Source organism: Homo sapiens, chromosome 2 (genome assembly GCF_000001405.40).
Source record: "Homo sapiens chromosome 2, GRCh38.p14 Primary Assembly".
Classification (NCBI taxonomy): Eukaryota; Metazoa; Chordata; class Mammalia; order Primates; family Hominidae; genus Homo; species Homo sapiens.
In genome coordinates this window covers 84,212,699-84,232,738 of record NC_000002.12, presented here as the reverse complement: position 1 = coordinate 84,232,738, position 20,040 = coordinate 84,212,699, and the positions used below count along the sequence as shown (strand labels likewise).

Here is a 20,040-nt window from a genome sequence, read left to right as displayed (position 1 = left end):
TTATCAGATCCTAAAATTCACATTCTAGCAGAATTATTTTAAAGAAGCTTAGCTCTCTTTGGGTGCATAATGTCTTATTCTTTCATCTTAAGCATTCATGTTTGATAAAAACGATTCCTCATGTAAATTCATTTATTGTAATTCAGTCTTTCCTAAACTCCCTTGATATAGAGCTACAAAATGTTACTTTTCTTTTTCCTCTTGAGAAAGGTGTTAAAAATGCAATACTGCCTTATGGTATATAAATTTATCTAGAACTCTTGGAACAAATTCTCCTACCTTTTAGAAGCTCTGCCCTTCTATAACTTGCCTTTCACCTGCCTAACAAATTATTCACTTTTGAAATACATATATATATAATTCATATATAAAAATATATATAGAAATGCATGTAATTTATATATATAAATATATTTAATTTATATATAAGTAAATATATAGATACGTATATACACTTATACATATATGTATATGTATGTGTGTGTCTATGTGTATATATATATACATATATATATATATATATATAGCTCATGAGAAATGAATTCAACTAAAGTTATCCAGTTGGTCTGTTTGCCTCATTCTGCTTTACTGAGCAGTCTGTCCTTCGCTACCTTGATGCTTTCCAGCTTGTTTCACTCCATGTGGTGAATGCACCTTCAGTGTGGCCATCCCATCCTGGTTACCCCATAGTCATGCCAATCTAAGTTTATGGCACTGACTGACAGTGGTGCCAAGGATGACTGGTGTGAGAGGTGGTCAGTGACTGTCTTGATATTGACCTCAAAATTACAGAGGTATATAGTTTGCTTTTCCCTGGTAATTATGAGATAAAATTAACAGTAATATACCAGTTATGGTATATTAATCTTGTGAATATTTAATTTATAGATTGAGGGATAAATAAATGTCTCTTAGGGATTGGGAGAGAGTAAGAGAGAGGAGTTCTGGGTGCTGTGCCCTGCTGGAGATGAAAACGCAGATGGACCTAATCTGCATGCTAAATAGTTCTCTCTGTTCCTGTTGCATAAACAATGCAATTCAGTGCTCTATTTTGTAGATGGTTTATGCCTGGCAAATAGAGCTGCTCAGCTTTGGAACCAGCAATGCTGCATCTTCTAGTGACATGCCTGCTGGAAATGGGCCTATTGAATTAGTAGTGGCTATGAGACAATAAATGACCAATTCAGTGTCAGGAAGCAAGCAGAGCAAGAGGGCTTTGTGTTTGCCCAGTTACTTTAATCTGATTTGGGACCAACAGAGAAATGCTTTGGTGCCCCCAAATCTGATTCGGTTCCTCCAAACCCTATGCTTAGAAATTCATTTCTTTGAGATAATATAGTATACTTCTAGGAATCCTATGTGAAAAAATGTAAAACTCTTCTTTAGGGTATCAAGTTATTATTCTTAGACATCCATAATAAAAGATGGTCAGTCACTAAATACTAACACCATCTTGAGGACTGTGGCAAAGGATTGGAAAGTTTCAGGGCAAATAAGTGTAGGATGACCAGATGTTTACTTTCTCCCAGGAAACCCTCATCACTCTTTCGGTACATTGGGCAGTAAGCTACAGTAGGCAGTGTGAATGCAGTTTCCTAGTATCCAACCTAATGAGGAGATACTTAGAATGGAGTACTGAAAGGCCCAGGCTCTGAACTGAACAATCGGCATCCATAAATTATTCTCTTAGTTCTTGAGGACTCAGTGCTCTACTCTAACGCACTCTGGGAAGGGCTACCTGGGGAAGAACTTCCAGGCTTGCTGCTTGGATTCATGTTTCCTGTAATGCAACTTTATTCAGGAATATATATATTTTTTTAATTTTTAATTTTTTTATTATTATTATACTTTAAGTTTTAGGGTACATGTGCAAAATGTGCAGGTTAGTTACATATGTATACATGCGCCATGCTGGTGTGTTGCCCCCATTAACTTGTCATTTAGCATTAGGTACATCTCCTAATGCTATCCCTCCCCCCTCCCCCCACCCCACAACAGTCCCCAGAGTGTGATGTTCCCCTTCCTGTGTCCATGTGTTCTCATTGTTCAATTCCCATCTATGAGTGAGAACATGCGGTGTTTGGTTTTTTGTTCTTGCGATAGTTTACTGAGAATGATGATTTCCAATTTCATCCATGTCCCTACAAAGGACATGAACTCATCATGTTTTATGGCTGCATAGTATTCCATGGTGTATATGTGCCACATTTTCTTAATCCCGTCTGTCACTGTTGGACATTTGGGTTGGTTCCAAGTCTTTGCTATTGTGAATAGTGCCACAATAAACATGTGTGCCTGTGTCTTTATAGCAGCATGATTTATAGTCCTTTGGGTATATACCCAGTAATGGGATGGCTGGGTCAAATGGTATTTCTAGTTCTAGATCCCTGAGGAATCGCCACACTGACTTCCACAATGGTTGAACTAGTTTACAGTCCCACCAACAGTGTGAAAGTGTTCCTATTTCTCCACATCCTCTCCAGCACCTGTTGTTTCCTGACTTTTTAATGATCGCCATTCTAACTGGTGTGAGATGGCATCTCGTTGTGGTTTTGATTTGCATTTCTCTGATGGCCAGTGATGATGAGCATTTTTTCATGTGTCTTTTGGCTGCATAAATGTCTTCTTTTGAGAAGTGTCTGTTCATATCCTTTGCCCACTTTTTGATGGGGTTGTTTGTTTTTTTCTTGTAAATTTGTTTGAGTTCATTGTAGATTCTGGATATTAGCCCTTTGTCAGATGAGTAGGTTGGGAAAATTTTCTCCCATTTTGTAGGTTGCCTGTTCACTCTGATGGTAGTTTCTTTTGCTGTGCAGAAGCTCTTTAGTTTAATTAGATCCCATTTGTCAATTTTGGCTTTTGTTGCCATTGCTTTTGGTGTTTTGGACATGAAGTCCTTGCCCATGCCTATGTCCTGAATGGTAATGCCTAGATTTTCTTCTAGGGTTTTTATGGTTTTAGGTCTAACATATTTAAGTCTTTAATCCATCTTGAATTAATTTTTGTATAAGGTGTAAGGAAGGGATCCAGTTTCAGCTTTCTCCATATGGCTAGCCAGTTTTCCCAGCACCATTTATTAAATAGGGAATCCTTTCCCCATTGCTTGTTTTTCTCAGGTTTGTCAAAGATCAGATAGTTGAGATATGTGGCATTACTTCTGAGGGCTCTGTTCTGTTCCATTGATCTATATCTCTGTTTTGGTACCAGTACCATGCTGTTTTGGTTACTGTAGCCTTGTAGTATAGTTTGAAGTCAGGTAGTGTGATGCCTCCAGCTTTGTTCTTTTGGCTTAGGATTGACTTGGTGATGCCGGCTCTTTTTTGGATCCATATGAACTTTAGTTTTTTCCAATTCTGTGAAGAAAGTCATTGGTAGCTTGATGGGGATGGCATTGAATCTATAAATTACCTTAGGCAGTGTGGCCATTTTCACGATATTGATTCTTCCTACCCATGAGCATGGAATGTTTTTCCATTTGTTTGTATCCTCTTTTATTTCATTGAGCAGTGGTTTGTAGTTCTCCTTGAAGAGGTCCTTCACGTCCCTTGTAAGTTGGATTCCTAAGTATTTTATTCTCTTTGAAGCAATTGTGAATGGGAGTTCACTCATGATTTGGCTCTCTGTTTGTCTGTTATTGGTGTATAAGAATGCTTGTGATTTTTGTACATTGATTTTGTATCCTGAGACTTTGTAAGCTGATAAGCTGAAGTTGCTTATCAGCTTAAGGAGATTTTGGGCTGAGACGATGGAGTTTTCTAGATATACAATCATGTTGTCTGCAAACAGGGACAATTTGACTTCCTCTTTTCCTAATTGAATACCCTTTATTTCCTTCTCCTGCCTAATTGCCCTGGCCACAACTTCCAACCCTATGTTGAATAGGAGTGGTGAGAGAGGGCATCCCTGTTTTGTGCCAGTTTTCAAAGGGAATGCTTCCAGTTTTTGCCCATTCAGTATGATATTGGCTGTGGGTTTGTCATAGATAGCTGTTATTATTTTGAGATACGTCCCATCAATACCTAATTTATCGAGAGTTTTTAGCATGAAGGGTTGTTGAATTTTGCCAAAGATCTTTTCTGCATCTATTGAGATAATCATGTGGTTTTTGTCTTTGGTTCTGTTTATATGCTGGATTACATTTATTGATTTGTGTGTATTGAACCAGCCTTGCATCCCAGGGATGAAGCCCACTTGATCATGGTGGATAAGCTTTTTGATGTGCTGCTGGATTCAGTTTGCCAGTATTTTATTGAGGATTTTTGCATTAATGTTCATCAAGGTTATTGGTCTAAAATTCTCTTTTTTGGTTGTGTCTCTGCCCGGCTTTGGTATCAGGATGATGCTGGCCTCATAAAATGAGTTAGGGAGGATTCCCTCTTTTTCTATTGATTGGAATAGTTTCAGAAGGAATGGTACCAGTTCCTCCCTGTACCTCTGGTAGAATTCGGCTGTGAATCCATCTGGTCCTGGACTCTTTTTTGTTGGTAAGCTATTGATTATTGCCACAATTTCAAATCTTGTTATTGGTCTACTCAGAGATTCAACTTCTTCCTGGTTTAGTCTTGGGAGAGTGTATGTGTTGAGGAATTTATCCATTTCTTCTAGATTTTCTAGTTTAATTGCGTAGAGGTGTTTGTAGTATTCTCTGATGGTAGTTTGTATTTCTGTGGGATCGGTGGTGATATCCCCTTTATCATTTTTTACTGCGTCTATTTGATTCTTCTCTCTTTTCTTCTTTATTAGTCTTGCTAGTGGTCTATCAGTTTTGTTGATCCTTTCAAAAAACCGGGTCCTGGATTCACTGATTTTTTGAAGGGTTTTTTGTGTCTCTATTTCCTTTAGTTCTGCTCTGATTTTAGTTATTTCTTGCCTTCTGCTAGCTTTTGAATATGTTTGCTTTTGCTTTTCTAGTTCTTTTAATTGTGATGTTAGGGTGTCAATTTTGGATCTTTCCTGCTTTCTCTTGTGGGCATTTGGTGCTATAAATTTCCCTCTACACACTGCTTTGAATGTGTCCCAGAGATTCTGGTATGTTGTGTCTTTGTTCTCATTGGTTTCAAAGAACATCTTTATTTCTGCCTTCATTTCGTTATGTATCCAGTAGTCATTCAGGAGCAGGTTGTTCAGTTTCCATGTAGTTGAGCAGTTTTGAGTGAGTTTCTTAATCCTGAGATCTAGTTTGATTGCACTGTGGTCTGAGAGACAGTTTGTTATAATTTCTGTTCTTTTAAATTTGCTGAGGAGAGCTTTACTTCCAAGTATGTGGTCAATTTTGGAATAGGTATGGTGTGGTGCTGAAAAAAATGTATATTCTCTTGATTTGGGGTGGAGAGTTCTGTAAATGTCTATCAGGTCCGCTTGGTGTAGAGCTGAGTTCAATTCCTGGGTATCCTTGTTAACTTTCTGTCTCGTTGATCTGTCTAATGTTGACAGTGGGGTGTTAAAGTCTCCCATTATTATTGTGTGGGAGTCTAAGTGTCTTTGTAGGTCACTCAGGACTTGCTTTATGAATCTGGGTGCTCCTGTATTGGGTGCATATATATTTAGGATAGTTAGCTCTTCTTGTTGAATTGATCCGTTTACCATTATGTAATGGCCTTCTTTGTCTCTTTTGATCTTTGTTGGTTTAAAGTCTGTTTTATCAGAGACTAGGATTGCAATCCCTGCCTTTTTTTGTTTTCCATTTGCTTGGTAGATCTTCCTCCATCCTTTTATTTTGAGCCTATGTGTGTCTCTGCACATGAGATGGGTTTCCTGAATACAGCACACTGATGGGTCTTGCTTGACTCTTTATCCAATTTGGCAGTCTGTGTCTTTTAATTGGAGGATTTAGTCCATTTACATTTAAAGTTAATATTGTTATGTGTGAATTTGATCCTGTCATTATGATGTTAGCTGGTTATTTTGCTCGTTAGTTGATGCAGTTTCTTCCTAGCCTTGATGGTCTTTACATTTTGGCATGATTTTGCAGTGGCTGGTACTGGTTGTTCCTTTCCATGTTTAGTGCTTCCTTCAGGAGCTCTTTTAGGGCAGGCATGGTGGTGACAAAATCTCTCAGCATTTGCTTGTCTGTAAAGTATTTTATTTCTCCTTCACTTGTGAAGCTTAGTTTGGCTGGATATGAAATTCTGATTTGAAAATTCTTTTCTTTAAGAATGTTGAATATTGGCCCCCACTCTCTTCTGGCTTGTGGAGCTTCTGCCAAGAGATCTGCTGTTAGTCTGATGGGCTTCCCTTTGTGGGTAACCCGACCTTTCTCTCTGGCTGCCCTTAACATTTTTTCCTTCATTTCAACTTTGTTAAATCTGACAATTATGTGTCTTGGAGTTGCTCTTCTTGAGGAGTATCTTTGTGATGTTCTCTGTATTTCCTGAATCTGAATGTTGGCCAGCCTTGCTAGATTGGGGAAGTTCTCCTGGATAATATCCTGCAGAGTGTTTTCCAACTTGGTTCCATTCTCCCTGTCACTTTCAGGTACACTGATCAGATGCAGATTTGGTCTTTTCACATAGTCCCATATTTCTTGGAGGCTTTGTTCATTTCTTTTTATTCTTTTTTCTCTAAACTTCCCTTCTCATTTCATTTCATTCATTTCGTCTTCCATCACTGATACCCTTTCTTCCAGTTGATCACATCGGCTCCTGAGGCTTCTTCATTCTTCATGTAGTTCTCGAGCCTTGGCTTTCAGCTCCATCAGCTCCTTTAAGCACTTCTCTGTGTTGGTTATTCTAGTTATACGTTTGTCTAAATTTTTTTCAAAGTTTTCAACTTCTTTGCCTTTTGTTTGAATTTCCTCCTGTAGCTCAGAGTAGTTTGATCGTCTGAAGCCTTCCTCTCTCATCTCGTCAAAGTCATTCTCCGTCCAGCTTTGTTCCGTTGCTGGTGAGGAACTGCGTTCCTTTGGAGGAGGAGAGGCGCTCTGCTTTTTAGAGTTTCCAGTTTTTCTGCTCTGTTTTTTCCCCATCTTTGTGGTTTTATCTACTTTTGGTCTTTGATGATGGTGATGTACAGATGGGTTTTTGGTGTGGATGTTCTTTCTGTTTGTTAGTTTTCCTTCTAACAGACAGGACCCTCAGCTGCAGGTCTGTTGGAGTTTGCTAGAGGTCCACTCCAGACCCTGTTTGCCTGGGTATCAGCAGTGGTGTCTGCAGAACCACGGATTTTCGTGAACCACAAATGCTGCTCTCTGATCGTTCCTCTGGAAGTTTTGTCTTGGAGGAGTACCTGGCCGTGTGAGGTGTCAGTCTGCCCCTACTGGGGGGTGCCTCCCAGTTAGGCTGCTTGGGGATCAGGGGTCAGGGACCCACATGAGGAGGCAGTCTGCCTTTTCTCAGATCTCCAGCTGTGTGCTGGGAGAACCACTGCTCTCTTCAAAGCTGTCAGACAGGGACATTTAAGTCTGCAGAGGTTAATGCTGTCTTTTTGTTTGTCTGTGCCCTGCCCCCAGAGGTGGAGCCTACAGAGGCAGGCAGGCCTCCTTGAGCTGTGGTGGGCTCCACCCAGTTCGAGCTTCCCGGCTGCTTTGTTTACCTAAGCGAGCCTGGGCAATGGTGGGCGCCCCTCCCCGAGCCTCACTGCTGCCTTGCAGTTTGATCTCAGACTGCTGTGCTAGCAATCAGCGAGACTCCGTGGGCATAGGATCCTCCAAGCCAGGTGCGGGATATAATCTCCTGGTGGGCCATTTCCTAAGCCCGTTGGAAAAGCGCAATATTGGGGTGAGAGTGACCCGGTTTTCCAGGTGCTGTTTGTGACCCCTTTCCTTGACCAGGAAAGGGAACTCCCTGACCCCTTGCGCTTCCTGAGTGAGGCAATGCCTCGCTCTGCTTTGGCTCGCACATGTTGTGCTGCACCCACTGTCCTGCGCCCACTGTCTGGCACTCCCTAGTGAGATGAACCTGGTACCTCAGATGGAAATGCAGAAATCACCCATCTTCTGCGTCACTCACGCTCGGAGCTGTAGACCGGAGCTCTTCCTGTTCGGCCATCTTGGCTCCTCTCCCCCATTCAGGAATTTTTATGCATGTCTGGATGTCATAGTAAATTACCATCTGAACACCCTTGTGAATATGATTTAAATTTTAAAATATTTATACCTCTATGTTTTTTTACATTGTGCATAGATATTTCCAGCATTGTTCCTTAAATCACAATTATTTTTTCAATAATAACCATTATTATTTTAAAGTAAAGCAGCAGGTTAGCCTAAGAGATTTACTTCCAGGAATTGCTGGTTTCTGAAGAAAACTATTTGTCCAACCACCCAAACATGGCCTCCAGGGATTGCTTCAGTAACTTATATATTCCTTCACTCTCTAGACTCTTTTCTGTTGAAGGAGGTGTGAGCCTGGCTCTTAGATATGTGGAGCAATGCAAGGCTGAGTTTTCCACTTATTCCTAATCCCAGATCTTTCAACTAAAGTCCTTATGTTGATATATGCTTAGCCTTGGGTTGATATATTACTTCATGTTTTATAACTTGAGCCTTATAATCTATGTGAAAGGCAACCAAGGGTTTTTTTTCTTTATTTTATAAGCCTCACTTTCCATAGGAACAATGGACCTATTCCAGGGAGGGAAACAGACCACAGATGTGTGTGTGTGTGTGTGTGTGTGTGTGTGTGTAAAATCAGTTCTCTGCTCTACTATAAAAAAGGTGTAAGAGATGGGGAGGAGCAAACAGAGACTACAAATACAGTTAGTTTTGATTTATATCTCAGAATGTCAGAGACTCTAAAAACTGAAAATATTTATATCCATAGTATACTCTAAGAAACCATTTTCCAGGGAGGCCACTTTACCTCGCATAATGACTTCTCTCCAGAAGTCGATTTTACTGAAATTAACTCCTCCACAGCCCATATCTTAGCTTTACCAAACATAGCTATATGGAAGTCTACAAAAGAAATTTTTAAGAAAGAATTATAAAGTTAATATTATTATTTAAAATACATTGACATTTAAAATAAAAGAGAGCCCTGCCGATTAACCTAAAGCAAACAAACAAAAACAAAATCTTCTGAATATCATATGATTTAAGGAGACATTAAAATGACATTTATGAATTGCTTAATATTGAAGGGGTATAGAAACCTATATATAAAAGCCTATAGGAATACAGCCTCCATCTGATCAGGAGTGGAGAATGCTGGGGCCATGACTGCTCTCACCCCAGGTCACTTGTAGGGCAGAGGTTCTACGCTTAGTGAGACAAGAGGAGAAGACCAGGGGCTACTGAACCACCCAACATCCAGAGTAGTGTTTCAGAGAGTTTATCACAGAGAAGGTGCGGCCCAAAAGAATGAGAGACTTCACAGCTCTTTCCCACAGGAAGTGATTCAAGCCTAAGGGCATTCTAAAAAATGATAGCTCCACTTATTAAAGAAAAACAAGCTAAGCCATAGACCAGCTGGCTCACCACAGAGAAAAACAGAAAAAAGGGCCTACTTGTTGTGAGCCTACTTGTGGTCAGAGAAATACCTCAAAGACTGGCCTCAAATATGATCCCTTCTCAAATTTTATTAAATCAAATTATAATGCTTAGGGAATTGTCAAAAACAATAGAGCAATCAGCTGGTGTTTAGTGGAGCCTAACAGGCAGGATGTACCACCAAATGAAGCTACAGCTTAATAGAGATATCAGGAAAAAGACAGTCAAAGAGACCTTGTCAAAACCCCTGTTATTTCACGGTGATTGTGTGCTCTCTGAGGAACAACACAAAATACTTCACATTTTTGAGAAAGAGACTTGACTAAATTAGCCTCCCTGAGTCACAAAACAAAAAAGAACAATAAAAACAAGCCCTGGAGGGGGAACAGAAAATCAATATATAGAGTTATTAATATATTTTACCTAAAATGTCTTGTTTTCAACAATTACAGAACATGCAATAAAACAGGAATATGTGACCCATACACAGGAAGAAAACAACAACAAAACAAGAGGCAATGGAAATGGCCTGTGAAGGGGACCAGTAGTCAGATTTAACAGACAAAAGCTTCAAAGTAGACATTATAAATATATTAAAAGTACTAAAAGAGTACTTAAAGAAGTAGTAGAAGGTGTGAAGACAATGAATGTCTCAAAAAATAGAGAACATCAGTAAAGAGATAAGAACTATAAAAACAAAAATTAAAATTATGCAGTTAAAAAGCATAATAACAAAAATGAAAAATTTATTAGAGTGGCTCAACAATATTTGAGCTGGCAGAAGAATCAGAGAATTTAAGATAGACCCATTCAAAGAACAGAGAAAATAGAATGAAGAAAAATGAACAGAGCCTCAGAGAAATGTGAGACAACAATATGCACAACAGCATATATTTAGTGGGAGTATCTCAAGAAAGGACAAAAGGAAAAGGGGCAGAAAAACTAGCTGATGAAATAATGGATGAAAATTTCTCAAGTTTGCTGAAAAACGTTAATATACACATCCAAGAAGCTCAAAAACTTCAAGTAAGAGAAACACAAAGATATTCATACTAAGACATCTTACAGTAAAAAATGCTGAAAGCCAAAGACAAAAACAAAAAAGGTGAAAGTAGCAGGAGAGCTTGGGCACAGGGGCTCACACCTGTAATCCCAGAATTTTGGGAAAATGGGGTGGGAGGATCACTTGAGGTCAGGAGTTTGAGACCAGCCTGGGGAAACATAGCAACATTTCATCTCCACAAAAATAAAAACAACAAAAAACAAAAATTAGCTGGGTGTGGTGGCATGCACCTACAGTCCCAGCTATTTGGAAGGCTGAGGTGAGAGAATTGCTTGAGCCCAGTTCAAGGCTGCAGTGAGCTATGATCTCACCATCACTCTAGCCTGAATGACAGAGTGAGATGCTGTCACAAAACAACACAAGATAAAATGAAACCACAAACAAACAAAAAAACCTTGTCATGTACAAGAGAGCTCCAATAAGATTGACAGTTCATTTATCATCAGAACAATGAAGGCCAGAAGAAGTAGGATAACCTATTCAAAGGGCAGAAAGGAAAAAAAAAAGTGTGAATCAATAATTCTATACTTAGCAAAGTTATCTTTCAAAATTAAAGACATAATAAAGATATTTCAGATAAAAACTCAGAGAATTTTTTGCTTGCAGACCCACATTACAAGAAATACTAAAGAAAAATTTAAGTCTAAGTAAGCACAGATGTAAATTTGAATCTACATTTTAAAAAAGCAAGCACTGGTACTTGTAACTATTTAGTTATAAAAGTCAGTATAATACATATTTTTTGTTTTTCTTTTGACAGATTTAGAAAACAATTGTATAAAACAATATGAATATAATTGTATTGTTGAGCCACAACATATAGAAATGTAATATATTTGACAATAACAACAGAAAGGGGGTGAGTAGGAACACTGGATTAAGACAATGACTCCAATACAAACCCATACAAACTGTCAGGCCTCTGAGCCCAAGCTAAGCCATCACATCCCTTGTGACCTGCATGTATTCATCTAGATGGCCTGAAGGAAGTGAAGAATCACAAAAGAAGGGAAAATGGCCAGTTCCTGCCTTAACTGATGACATTACCTTGTGAAATTCCTTCTCCTGGCTCATCCTGGCTCAAAAACTCCCCCACTGAGCACCTTGTGACCCCCGCCCCTGCCCGCAAGAGAACAACCCCCTTTGACTGTAATTTTCCACTACCCACCCAAATCCTATAAAACAGCCCCACCCTGTCTCCCTTCGCTGACTCTCTTTTTGGACTCAGCCCACCTGCACCCAGGTGATTAAAAAGCTTTATTGCTCAAACAAAGCCTGTTTGGTGGTCTCTTCACACAGATGTGCATGAAACAAATTTAAAAAGTGAGAAATGGTAAATAATATTTTTAAAGACATAATAAAGAGGGAGAAAAGGCAAATATAACAAACTATAGATAAATATTTCCTCTCCTTTTTTTCCTCAGCTTCTTCAAGACATAAATTCATAAAAAGTAATGAATATAGCAATGCATTATTGGGCTTGTAACATAGATTTAATATATATAACAATAATAGCACAAAAAATGATAGGAGGAAATATAGCTATAGAAGAGTGACATTTCTATATCTCACCAAAATTAAGCTGGTGTAAGTCTAAAGTAGATTCTGGTAAGCTAAAATGTACATGACAAGCTCTGGAGCAACCATTATAAAAATGACTAAAAAATAGTAAAAAAAAATTAAGAAATCAAAATATTCCACCAGAATATCCATTTAAGAAAAAAGGATTTAATAAAGGAGAAGTGGAAGAACAACAAAGACATAAGACATATAGATAACACAAAGTAAAATGGCAGATATAAATCTAATCATATCAATAATATTAAATGTGAAAAAAATAATACAGTAAATATACAGAGATGTCAGACTGGATAAATAAACATAATTCAACTGTCTATTTACAGGAGAAACACTTTATATTCAAATATACAAATGGATTGAAAGCAAAAAGATGGTAAAATATATACCATGTAAACAGTAACTATAAGAAAACTGGAGTGGCTATACTAATATCAAAGAGAAATCAACATTTCAACAACAATAGTTACAGACTTCACTACTCCATTTTCAGTACTGGTAGAAAAACTAAAGAAAAGATCAACAAAGCCAGGCGCAGTGGCTCACACCTGTAATCCCAGCACTTTGGGAGGCTGAGGCAGGCGGATCACCTGAGGTTAGGAGTTCAAGACCAGCCTGACCAACATGGTGAAACCCTGTCTCTACTAAAAATACAAAAATTAGCTGGGCATGGTGGCGTGTGCCTGCAATTCCAGCTACTTGGGAGGCTGAGGCAGGAAAATCACTTGAACCCGGGAGGCAGAGGTTGCAGTGAGCTGAGATCGCGCCATTGCACTCCAGCCTAGGTGACTGAGTGAGACTCCATCTCAAAAAAAAAAAAGGGGAAAAGGTCAACAAGAAAATGAATGCAATAATCATGTGTGCCCTCCAAAATTCAGATGTAAATACTTAATGGCCAATGTGATGTTATTAAGAGGTGGGACCTTTAAGAAGTGATTATGTTATGAGAGCTCCTTTACTTGTGAATGAAATTAAGGGCCTTATGAAAGAGGCTTCACACAGCCTTCAGCCCTCTTGCAATTTCCATTGCCCACCATGTGACGATAGAGTGTTTTACCCCTTTGAAGGATGAAGCATTCAAGGCAGCATCTTCAAAGCACAGACCAGACAACAAACTTGCCACTACCTTAATCTTGATCTTAGACTTTCCAGCCTCCAGAGCTGTGAGAAATAAATTTCCATCTTTATAAATTACCCAGTTTCAGGTATGTTGTCATGGCAGCACAAAAAGACTAAGACAGAGGACTTATAAAACATTATAAACCAACTATACTTGACATTTATTGGACACTCCACCCAACAAAAGCAGAATACACATTTTTCTTAAAAAAACAAAAAAATGATATCCTGGAACATTCTCCAACAGAACTGTTACACATTTCTTTTTCTATCCCTGAAAGGTTTTTCCTGCATGCTCTACTTAGTCCCAGCAAGAAAAGAAGATAGTTGGTGCAACTTAGAATTGGATTTAGATCCCAAGCCAAACATTATTGACTGTGTGTGTTGCACAAGTGACAACCTCTCACGGACAAAGTGGGGTTAATCACACCTGCAAACATTGAACATAATACATATAAAGTTTTTAGCAAAACACTTGACACGTAGCAGATATCTAATATAAAATGGCAGTTTATTGCATGTTTTTTGTACTCCTTATGGTATCAGTTAGAATGAGTATTTTTGTCAGGAATGTTGCCTTTTTCTCTACTTCCTGAAGGGCAGGAAACTTTTCCAGCTCTTGGGCATGTGATGTTTCATTTATTTCTGACTGAGTACAGGGGGATCCTCTGAGAACTGTGCTCCAGGCAGTACTGCCAGGGTCGTTCTCTGCCTTCTGCATGAGACAAGCATTCCCTGCAGCATGCCGCATTTGCCAGTCTTAGCCAGAGGCCCAAAAGCTGCAGTCCTTGTTTGGCCCAAGAACACCAGGTGGCAGCTGTGGCCCGTCGTCTGCTGCCCACTACCCAGACACAGCCAGCTTTGGGCCACTGAGGCGAGCAGCTGGACAGCTTCTTCTAGTGCAACTGGGTCAGCTCCTTGTCTGTCTCTCCACCTGTCCTTCCTCCCTATCTGTATCATGTCTGAGCTCCAAATAGCAACACTGATCATCCTGAGTCAGAAAACACACCTGCCCACAGGGTAGGTTTTTTTTTGGGGTACCCTAGAAATTGTCCCTCCGTGATTATGAGGTGGCAGAATGTGCATATTTGAAAATGTTGCCCTTTTAAACTGGTTTCTCCTCTAGTTGTACAAACTCTGCTACTTCTATCATGGTATATGTTCATAAAAAACTTGAGGAGTTCACACATGGGCAATAAATTATTTGATTTTACTCTCTCTGTAGCTATGGGTATCCAGAAATTTGAGGGTAATCTGGCAAGAGAGTAAGAAGAAGCCCCTCCCTCAGAAAGGATTAAGAATTAGAATGACAGAAAATGGAGAGAATTCTGTTGATTAACCATTAATTGCTTCAGGACTCATTAGAAAACATGTTTGCACATAGATCCTGTCTGGATACATTGAAATAAGTTTGGTGTTTCCTTTCTGTGCCTTGAAATTAACCTAAGCAAAGTAAGAGAATGGAATCCTTTGAAAAATGTTATAAAATTCATTGTTTATTCTGATATTGTTTTTATATTGTTTTTCTCTCAGTAGACTGTGAGCTATTCAAGGTCAGAAACTACCCTTCATCTGTGTCCTTGGATAGTCATTCATGCAAATGTAAAGCCTCATTTTTTCCTGGGCTATTAGGAAGTTCTAATGAAAGCATTTTGCTTTGCTAAAAGCTAAGCTGAAAACCGTCTTTTTTCAATGGATGTGATGATGATATGCAGGCCTTCCTGCTTTATTGAATCTGATCTAGTGAAACTGACTGTGAAAGCCCTCAGAGCTATTATTCTAAACGTCATGTCTCCATGTTCAGGGCTCAGGAGGGAGCTGGGGCAGGTGTAAGCAGCACTGGAAAAGAGAAGGCTTGAGCAGTTCCTCTGCCGTCCAATACCCAAGGCTACTTTCGATATTTCATCATGACACGCTGTCCCACAGAGCTCAGACAAAGCCTTGGTATTCTTCCTGAGGGGATGCTGCAGGCAGCCGCTACCTGCTGATGGGAAATAGCATTTGAGATGAAGTCCTTCTGCTAGCTTTGGTGCGTTGAGCCACAGATGTCCTCTAAATCTCCCTTGTTACTAACTTCTTAATATCCGTGTACATTTCTGAGATTGACTCCTTTTGCCTTAAAAAGTACGGAACTCCCCAAATCTGAGCAGTCAGCCGGTTCTATTTAATATATATGTACCTTAGTGTTACTACCGATTTAAGTGAAAATTGTTCAATTATTTTACTTTGCATTAGTTGAGCTCAATAATCCTGACTCTTGAAATAGACACAATTTATTTTTTCTTCTAATCAGGACCTGCACTCAAAAATATGCCAGACTTGCCTATCTCTAGGAAATCCTGCTTCTTTGCTTGAAAAAAAAAAAAAAAACCCTGTTCCTTTCCCCCAACTATCTATGTAGATAATCTCTGACTTATGATGGTTTGACTTAATGATTTTTGACTAGATGATGGTGCCACAGTGATACACATTCAGTAGAGACCGTACTTCAAGTACTCATACAACCATTCTGGTTTTTTTTTTCACTTTCAGTACAGTATTTAATAAATTACATGATATATTCAGGCTTTATTAGGAAAGGGGCGTTATATTAGATGATTTTGCCAAACTACAGGCTAATGTCAGTGTTCTGAACACTTGTAATACAGGCTAAGCTAAGCTATGATGTTTGTTATGTTAGGTGTATTAAATACATTTTGACTTAGGATATTTTCAACTTCTGTTGAGTGTATTAGGAAGTAATTCCATTATAAGTTGAGGAGCTACATGTTCTACACAGCCTAGAAAGTGCAGGTCCCACTATCCTTCATCGATTCCTCTCATTATCACAGCACTTGTGGTTCCCAGTCCTTTCTGAAGGAAACCTATAGGACTATGCTTAGTTGACTTCTTTGAGGAAAAAAAACTGTAGTTTTTTAAATCTATAACTCCAGTCATGCTGGGGATGGTACTTGGCATGCAGTGGGCTCCTAATAAATTCCTATGGAGTGACAGAACATGTATAGATATTTACATTTTATTATTGTTACTTTCACATACATTTCCCTATTATATCCTCAAAATGTCCTTGTAAGGCAAGTATTTTTCCAGAAGAGGACTCAAAGGGATAGTGTAACTGTCCTGAAGATGCACAGCAAATAAGAGACAGAACTTATTCTTCTAACCCTAAACTATCATTCCCCTCTACTTCCCACCCATATCATGGTACTTCTTGATTATGAGCTGTTATGTATCATTTGCTGCAATAGTCTGAGTTCACTTTGTCTATATAAGTATATTATAAACTCCTCAAGGGTAAGGTAAATATCTTGCTTTTCTGCTTTCTGTACCCCTTCTCTCATTATTGTAATAGGTTGGCAATTCCAAAAGCATGTATTCTGTATTGTCTGATCATTGGCTATCACAAATCACTGTGAGATTAATTTTTTTTAGCCCTGCTTTGCCAAAAAACTGATTTGTCTAATGAGGTCATTAAAAAAGCATGAAATATATTCAGAAGACTCTGGAATTTTATGCTGTGATGGCAATATTTGAGTTGCCTGAGCACGTATTAAAAACCATTAAAGAAGCCGGTGTGCTTATTAAATCTTACAAAGAAGTTTTCTTTAGTCATTGTAATTGAAAAGACTTCAGTATCCACTCATCTGCCAAGAATCACAGATGATCTAGTGGGACAGAGTTTAATAATAAATCCTGGCACTTGGAGACAGGTCCTGGTTCTGTGAAAGTTTCTTGTCTCCTTTTCTGAATAGGAATTTTCCCAGCAAAGAAATAATGGTTGGGTAAACCTGGTATGTCCCCTTTAACTTATCCCCACTCACTAATACATGTATATTCCTAAAGTTAATGGGGCCTTCTGAAATTACATGGTCTGAAATTATATTGCCATTTAGCAGGAGCTGAAGGCAAAAACCATCCAATGGTTAGGTCTTATAAAATCTTATGTTCAGCCAAAACATTACTACCTATAATGATACCTCTTTTGATATAAGTTTTTCTTCTTTGGAGAGAGCTAAATAAGCTTATTCAAATCTATAACCAACTTATTTGAAAGCAATTCAGGGAAGTGACCTCCTGGGCTCAACCTTCCCACCTCAGCCTCCCAAGTAGCTGAGACTACAGGATTGCCACCATGCCCAGCTAATTTTTATTTTTATAGAGACAGGGTCTCTTTGTGTTGCCCAGGCTGGTGTCTTACTCCTGAGCTCAAACGATCCTCTCACCTTGGTTCTGGGATTACAGGAACAAGCCACCATGCTCGGCCACACAGGTTTTTAAGATAAATTCTTCAAGAGATTAAACTACAGGTCTATGTTTAGAGGAGGGAGAGATTACAACTGGCTTAGACAATCAGACATTGTGGGAAATCAGGTTTTGTGGAGAAGGTAGAATTAGTAATGAATCTTAAATGTGGAACTGAATTTCGAATGGTAAGAAAGGGTACACCATGAATTAGGAAACATTGAAAATCCAGTTTACCAAAATCTCTGGGTATGAGCAGAGAAATAGTAAGAAATAAAGTTGGAAATGTAGATAAAGTCATGACCAATGAGTTAAAAACTCTTTATGTAAGCTGTGGAATCTTCTACTGGAAGGTTTTTAACCAAGGTATTTCCAGCTGTTAGGAGTCTGCGTGAGATTGTAGAAGCTGCTCATCGAGGGCAATCAGGAACTTATGCCTCAATAAACTGGTGATATGATCATATTGACTTTAAATACCAAAAGACAGCTTTCATGTCCAGCAAGCAGTCGACTTTTGATTCTGTGCTGAGTATTTTTTGTTGGCTCCTAAAACCCAACTCTTCCCCTCTCTAATCTGCTTTGGGCCCCAGGAACTGGCATGGCCTGTAGTCAACAGGTTTGCTTCTCTTTTGTTTCTGTTCTGGCCAGTGGGAGGTGCTGGCTGGAGCTCTATGTCAGCAAGCTAGCCCTTATTCCCCAGTCCCTTCCCCTGTGCCATGGCTGGCACAGGTGTTGGCGGTTGCTGGGTTCCTTCAGATGTAGGACTTACGGGATTCTGGTCACCTCTCCCTCTTTGCCCCTTCAGGTCTAGGGGTGTATCCTTGGGGATGCTTCACCTCCCTTCTTTTTCCCTTAGCTCTGTCCTTCTTTAAACTCCCCTTGGTCCCTGTTATGAGTGTGCCATCTGTTTTCTGAGGGGAACTTTATTAGTTTTTCATGTATTTTGGTTTCAACAGTGACTAAATTGTGGTAGTTTTCTAGTTGTCCTCAAAATGGTAAACTAGAACTTCAGATAGGACTTCAGTGCAGAGGAATTCAGGTTGCAGACAGGTCTAACCAATGCAGAGGGGTGTGGGGCCTTGCTCCCCGTAGCCTTCAAGCTGGGTTTTTATTAACACATAACTAATTTTTCTTAGAGAGGAATCATTTGCAACTAGATAACAAAGTTTTTTATGTATAGTTCACTAACATTAACCTGTAAAAACAGCTTTGTTGGCAGAAATCTTCATTGTAATAAAGTTTATTATATATAACCCATTTTCACCAATTTACCACAAAGTCGAGTCTGCCCTGGAAAAGTCAAGTTGGACTTGGAGATGTATAGTGCACATACCATGCACATACCGTTCTCTTACACTGGGAAATTCAGGGCAGACTGGCCAGGACAAACAGGAACCCTCAGGATAGGTTCATGTGGAATTTATAGAGGAGTCTGTTTTCATTGTCACCTCTAATTTTTCAAACCTAGAGAAACACTTTTCCTTTATGTATTATTTAACTTTTATCTTCCTACCTGCATGGGCAGAGTAGAACATTTCCACTTGAGATTTAAATTTATTTTGTCTTTCTGCTCTCTCCTCTTTCTCTAAGTCTTGCTCTTTAAGTTCCAACTAAAAGCTCTTTTCTCCTCTTTAAGGTGGAGCTGAATTTTCACCTCTTTTCTGTAACCTTCTTTTCTATGTCTGAGGGCAAGAAATGTGTGTTTTGGAGGCCTCCCATCACTTTAAAGGGAAAAGACCCTCAGCTGTTACTTCTAGACTGGTAAAATGATACCAAAGCAATTTTTTAACTAGAAATATTTTGTAGATGAGAACTTACTATGCATTGTGCAACTCAATAAAAAAATTGCAAGTAAAATCTTTTAAATAAGAACCAGAAATATTTCTGTTTAGATTTTGGTATATCATTTCCTAGCTAGCTCTTGCTCATCCTTCAGAACTCATCTCGAAAGCAAGCCTGGCCTTTCTGGCATCACACCCACCCCCAGCTGAACCCAGTTTTGATATTCCTTCTCAGCATCCTTAGACTTCCTTGGTCACAAGCCTTTCACGTTGTGAATTGCCCTTGATTAGCTCCCATTTCTCTCCCTTTGTGTTGTGAACCCTTTGAAGGCAGGGACCATCATGTTCTAAACTTGCATGTTCAATGCCGAACACAGGGCCTGACACACATGGTTAAAAGCAGGAACGAAAATGGAAATCATCATATTTGCTTCTCTATTTCAGGATTTGAGCTTCAGTGCACACAGGAATAGCTGGAGGAGTTCACAAAACAAAATGCAGATTTCTGTATTTTTTCCTTTTGCGTTTACTGTCCCAGGAGATTTAGACTCATCAAGACTGGGGTCATGCCCAAGAATGTAAATATTTGAAAATATACACTATGCATTGTGGCAGAGGTAAAGGGTAAGAGTCATTTACCTAATTTCCCCTAGAAGCAGGAAGGATAGCAATGAATTTTGCTTCTGAATTCATAGACAACTTCAGTAAGCTTGAGGCTTCGGGGCTTTGCCTCACTCTGGTTATGAGTCAGTATCTGGGGATCTAGAGAAGGTTTTACCCTTCTCAATTTGAAAGCAATCATTTTATGAAGACTTGAGGGCAAGTTGGTT

At 39.1% G+C, this 20,040-nt stretch overlaps 1 long non-coding RNA gene across 1 annotated transcript in view, besides 1 other annotated feature; it reads left to right on the top strand.

The window, feature by feature from the left end:
- The window catches only part of LOC107985905 (uncharacterized), a 134,425-nt gene that overhangs the window by 98,119 nt on the left and 16,266 nt on the right, over positions 1–20,040 (top strand). The window lies entirely within an intron of this gene.
- Positions 13,487–13,986: an enhancer, noted in NCBI's record as "H3K4me1 hESC enhancer chr2:84445877-84446376 (GRCh37/hg19 assembly coordinates)". NCBI's record gives its function as "activates a minimal SCP1, AML or CMV promoter by ChIP-STARR-seq in primed H9 embryonic stem cells {active_cell/tissue: H9 hESC(primed)}" and the evidence as "EXISTENCE:reporter gene assay evidence [ECO:0000049][PMID:30033119]".